The sequence below is a fragment of the Homo sapiens genome, chromosome 16 (genome assembly GCF_000001405.40).
Source record: "Homo sapiens chromosome 16, GRCh38.p14 Primary Assembly".
Taxonomy (NCBI): domain Eukaryota; kingdom Metazoa; phylum Chordata; class Mammalia; order Primates; family Hominidae; genus Homo; species Homo sapiens.
The window spans coordinates 64,478,535-64,484,534 of record NC_000016.10 but is presented as its reverse complement, the minus strand read 5'-3'; the positions used below and the strand labels follow the sequence as shown (position 1 = coordinate 64,484,534).

Below are 6,000 nucleotides of genomic sequence, written 5' to 3'. Positions count from 1 at the left end.
GTAGTTGTAATAGCTTAAAAAATAATGCAACGTTTCCAATTTGATTAGCACCAATGAGATTACAGCCTGTGAATAAAGTAAATATACTTACATTTCCTTATGCATCAATTGTCTATCTTAACTTTAAGAAGCAGACATAACCAAAGTCCCTGTACCTATAGGTAGAACTGTACTAAATTCCTAACCCATTTGGAACTAAACCTGGCTATATAGCATCATTTTAATGCAAACGTCAATCACAAGGTAATGTAACACCACCCCTTGTGTTGAGTTCCTACTGTGTGAGACAAGTATTAGAAACTTACATCAATCACCTTTAACTCACAGTAAATAACTGTAAGGGAGGAAATGCAGTCTCTCTGTAAATTCCAGATGAAAATATTTAGGGGCCCACAGAGATTAACATTCTTACCAAAGGATGAGAAGTTAGTGGAGAAACAAGATTTAAATGCAGATACCTTGACTTCAAATCAAATGTATTCCATTTCCTTTACTGTATTCTTCTACATGTTTTAGTAAGCCAAATAAGGCCCATATTGATTGTCACAGTCCTATAGTTCCAAATCTGTATTCTCTCTCTCTCTTTTTTTTTTTTTTTTCAGTTGTTTTTTTACCTGGTCATCATCTGAGTTGCTTGAGAAGGTTAGCATTTTTCTCTATTTTACTGTTCCTTAGTAACAGACACAACTAATAATACACAAATAATCTTGCAATGCTAGGGGGAATTACTGTTTATAAGAAGCACATAATCTCCTCTAAAAACTGAATATTAATAAATGAAAATAACCATGACTCAATTTAGGTCAGATTTGTTTATATCCTGTTTATATGCTTCCTACAAAAAGAACATGACTATAGTCTATTTTTCATTCCTAAAAGAAATCTTAAATCTTGCAAATGTTCAAATGTTAAGATCTATTAAAAAATTGTTATGTCTGACAAAATCTTATAGTTAAATGTAAGTTGCATTTGGTGTTATTTAATTATCATTCAGGTGACCAGGAAATTCTACGGAGATGAGAGGAATATATAAAATGAAAATTAGAGACAGCTTTTAATATTGATTCCAAGTTAAATCTTAGTAAAGGATAATTTGGCTTTTTTGATACTAGAAGCAACAGTTTAGTTCAATCTCTATCCAAATAGAAATTTAATAGTGCTTATTTCATGCTCATATGGTCAGATTTTTGGTCTAATTTGTTTGTAATGAGTTAGAGTAACTGATATGCTAATCAATGTTAGTTAATTAAAAGTGGAGTTTCCATTTAGTTACAAAACACATTAGGGTGCTGAGCATATTGCATGCTAGATGACCTGATTCACACATTTGAACTTCTAAAATGAGAAGGAGTGGTAGAAAATCTTTTTGATGTGTTGCCAGAAGTGCCACTCAGATCCTTCTGGAAACAGATTTAGCCTGAGGATGAGAAGACTTGAATTCTAATCCTTGCTCCACTGCCTTTTTACCCTGAAGCTTGAGTATCATCTCTTAAATTCTCAAAAACTCATATTTCCAAGACCAAAAAATGGAATAGGATTAGATAATGTCTATGCACACTTTCTTGTGATTCCTTGTTCAAAATTCAAAAGTAAATGAGGGTGTTAACTCTCTGCTCAGCCATTTTCTAGCTCTGTAATTTTAGGCAAAATCCTCAATCTTTTTGATCTTTGTAATTGAGATGAAATGAGGAAAAGCATGGTACTCACACTGCATTCATGCTCAAATAAAGTTTACTGTGGTGATTAAAAAAAAGATAGAGTGTATGGACTTTACAAATACTATAAAATTATATCAAACTTCTAAAAATATAAGTAGATTTTAAAAAAAGAAAAAATCTATAAGTATAGGCACTGAAACATACTCTAGTGAAGCTTTCAGCAAACCCTTATTTACAGAGTTCCATTAGTAGGTGTTAATTAAACATGTATTTCATGTTTGACTAAGTTTTGGGAAAAGATCAGTTAAAACTATCAACAGAAATTAGAGACTCTTAGAGCTTTCAGAATATTAGCATGTACAGTGAATCTTCAAGACTATCCCCAGATATTTATTTTTGCTTCTTTGTTTTTTAACCTTATTGCAGGTAGGGAATGGAGGTTTGGAAATTGTACAGAACTAGTGTTCTATGGAATAAGCTTTAGGAAGCAATGAAGTGAAGAAAATAACTGAAGATTTGTATCATAGACACCTGGGTGGAATCTCACTCCTACCACTTAACTATGTCACTTAAATTAACCTTGTGTGACTGGGAGTGGTGAAGATAATTCCTATTTTGAAGATTATCCACCTTGGTTTGAAAGTGAGGAACAATATATGTAAAGCTATCAGCTTGGGATAAAGACTCAATAAATTGATGATGATGATAGGATTGATTCCAGGCACCCTAGCAAAGCATCACCTTCCTCCTGTGGAACCACAAAACCGAGGAATCTGTGCATCTTCTCCTGTTCACTATTTGAAATCCATTTGTTGTAAAACATCAAAGAGTGATTCCCATATGTGGAACATTGTGGAAGAAATCTGTTGTTGATTGCTTCCTCCTTGAAACAGAATTACGAGAAAACAGGATGGAAAGCTAAGGGGAGCTTGATGCCCCAGAAGAAGGAATCTGAAATAAGATTGAGGGGGTGGGCAGGATACACTTCCTGAGGTTAATGCTATTAGAAGTTAACTAATTTTTTCTGGAGGATGGATATCATTTGCAGTAAAGCATCTACCAACTGTTATAAAATATCAGGATATCTCGACCTGTCATTGAAACAAACCAATAAGAACAGGCCATTTCCTGCAGGGGGCATGATTAAAACCAGAGCCATTTTCACAGATAATCCATTTATAAATCATGGTAATAAAATGGCCATCATGACAGCAGCTCAGTGACATTTTTTTCACAAGCTCAGCCGTATCCAGGCAACCAACACATCTTAACTCAAATAAAAAGAAAGGCAGCCTGGGGTTCCAGGAGTCAAGGAGAAGATCCCACTGCCTGGTTCTCTTTTCCCATGAGGGAAGGTGATGGGCTAATGGCTATAGGAAATTTATATGACCCTAATTACTGCAGTTTGCTTTATGTGCATGTCTGAATCAACAGACATCAGGAATTTAGATGTTTCTCAACTCTTTTCTCATTCTAGGAACTGATAAGTGGGGAATTCTGAGGTCCATCTTTGATCCATATCTTATTTTGAGAGGTTCAACTGATCGGCAGGAACTGGAGAGAAGAATAATACATGGCAGAAATCCAGATACTCTCTATTCAGCTCTTTACGTGTGTAATTGAAAATCAACATTGTTTCTCATATTATTGAAAAAAAGTTTTAATATGCACCATTATAGCAACTATCATGAGTCATAATCTTAGAAAAGTGTGTCTCTTGTAGCCCAAATGAGAGACAAGAGTTCTCTTTGCACTCCTTTGGGACTTTTCCATGCAATTTATACATGCAAACTTTTGATGACTGAAACTACCTTGACTCAAAAGGGACTTAAATACTTAAAAATACATTTTACCAAAGACTATTCCCCTTTTTATGTAAAGCACTATAGCAAAGATAAATTTGTATAACTAACATTAATTAATTAATTAAATGACCTACTTTCATAGTAAAACCAAATATTATGGAATAAATTGCTAAACAGGAATTTGAAAATATTTATGTCTATGTATGTGTACATATGCATGTATGTTAAATTATATTCACCTAAACCATCTATCACTGGGACTAATAATCCTTACCCAGCAACATGAGATGATGGCAAAAGTACAAAGGGCAGACTACTATGTTCATGGAAACTTTTTGCTGGGATGTTAATGTTAGGAAAGCAGGAGCCTAGGAAAGCCAGAGTGCCACCATTTTAAAATCAACTCCATCTTAAAACTGGCAAGGCACAGTCTTTGCTAGTCATGACCCATAGTCCTAAGATGTTTTTACCTAAGGAGTCAGCTTGGTAATGCCTGTAAGGACAAACTCCTATAAAAACAGAAAGCCTAGATCTCTCAATAACCATAACAATATGTGCTTTCAAGATAATTACAGTTATACTTTAATATACTTACACACTAACACGTCACAGATAGTTTTATTTAAATCAATAGAATAATACATTTTGTCATGCTGTCAGCCCACCCACATGTAGGCACAGCTTAGTTTATTCTTTACATAGGTAAGACTCCTGTGTAAGAAAAACTTCAAGCAAAGATAGTGAATTCCTCCACTTGCTTTCTGAGGACACTCTACTCAGTAATGGAATAGCTTTCAAGAAACTGTCTCTTCTTACTGTGAAGCATTCCTCTTCTTGTGTTCTGAGTATGCCCTGCTCTGTAATAGGGTAGCTTTCTACGAACCTTCTCTTCTCTCTTTGACTCACCTTGAATTCCTGTCTGCAAGAACACACTCCTGAGGTCTGCATCAAGACCCCTTTTCTGATTACATTAATATTAGCATTATTGTTATGGCAGATGCTGTCAGGGCTCTGCCTATGTTCCTATGATTCCTTTTACACTGTTTTCATGGTCAGTTCCATGTATACCTTTACTCTCAACAGCTAGCACGTGTGCTTCTTAGCAGGCAGTCTTCCCTCAGGCTATCAGTAGCTAACTTGCCTTAATACATGGAGACCTTCAAATTTCTGGGGCAGCCCTCAAACAATGAGTGATGGATATAGCCAGTTATCTTGCCATCTGTTTGGAATAATTCCAATATTTTCAGGGAGCTAGTTTACCTGCAAACCTGTGTAGAATCCATGCTGTCTCCAGAGATCACGTGTGGGGCTGAGCCAACATTTACCTCCCTGGCACATTGTTTGATATCACACTCTTGTGGGGCCTTCTTTTCTTCCCACATTCCCTATCTCTTATCATTTTAAAAAAATCGATTATTGATTTATTTGTATTCACATGGATCCTTTTCCTGATACCCACTTCTAAGGAACCAAACTTAATATACCTGGAAAAAGGTGAATGTGTTTAGGACCTGAATGGGGATTGAACTTAAGAGAGGTTGGGATAAAGGACTGGTCATGCATCGGACTTAGGAATCATTAAATAGCTACAAATGTAGTCCAGGTGAAAGTATCCCGCAAGAGATATCTAGATGGACAAAGATCATAAAATAGATAGAAATAACCATCCTGATTAAAGTGTAAGTAAATAATTCAAAATTCACAGTGGTCAAAATATTTAGAATTGATTGAGGCTAAGTTTGTGTTAGGTTCTGTATTATGCTATGGTAAGAGCTTTTATACATTCTCCCTCTCATTCAGCATATACAGCATTGAGGTAGGAACAATTATTTTTTTTCCATTTTACAGATGTGGAAACAATGGCTTAACAATGTTTAGCAACTTACCAACGTTCACATAGTTGTGGACTTGAGATTTGTGCCTATATCAGTCAGGCTCCAAACATTATATGCTTAACTACTGTACTGTAAGATCTGCTTACCAGCCGAAAGTAGTTCCTGAAGAAGAATCAAAACAGATAACTTTAGAGACATGGCTGATACGATCAAGTTGATTTGATAACAGCTTGCAGCAAACTCTGCATTTTAATACACATCTCTGTGTCTCTTGCATGTGTCTTTGAGTGCATGGAGACAGAGTAAGCAGGGTTAATATCCGTTGTTGTAGAAGTCTGTTGTGCTTTGCTCTCAGTAAGTGTTCCCCCCACCCACCCCTACTTTCCTACCTTCTAAGCCTCTGCAATGCTAAGTGCCATATTCAAGGTCACAGAGCTAATAAAAGCAAGTTTGTTTTCTGACTCTTAGCCTGAGTAGATTTCTTTCCAACAATATCAGGCTAATTTATTGTCTCATACCCAAATTCTGGGCAAAGTCAGAACTGGTTTAGAATTAGACGGCTATCCAAACATAAGTTTCCGGTGGAGTTGCCAAAACCAACCCTCTATAAACCTCAACTTTCTAAAGGAATGTTGAGAGTCAGCTTTCCTCATCATCTGCCTACCAGCCCTCTGCCCTTTGGACTCAGCTTTATTTAGAAAT

At 35.9% G+C, this 6,000-nt stretch overlaps 1 long non-coding RNA gene across 3 annotated transcripts in view; it reads right to left on the bottom strand.

Moving 5' to 3' along the window:
* Positions 1-5,322: 5,322 nt before the first annotated feature.
* LOC105371310 (uncharacterized) overlaps positions 5,323-6,000 on the bottom strand; it is a 134,908-nt gene continuing 134,230 nt past the window's right edge. For all 3 annotated transcript variants that reach the window (XR_001752234.1, XR_001752233.1, XR_001752236.1), the window contains one exon: positions 5,323-5,460. This is a non-coding gene — a long non-coding RNA (uncharacterized LOC105371310). The remainder of the gene's footprint in view (positions 5,461-6,000) is intronic.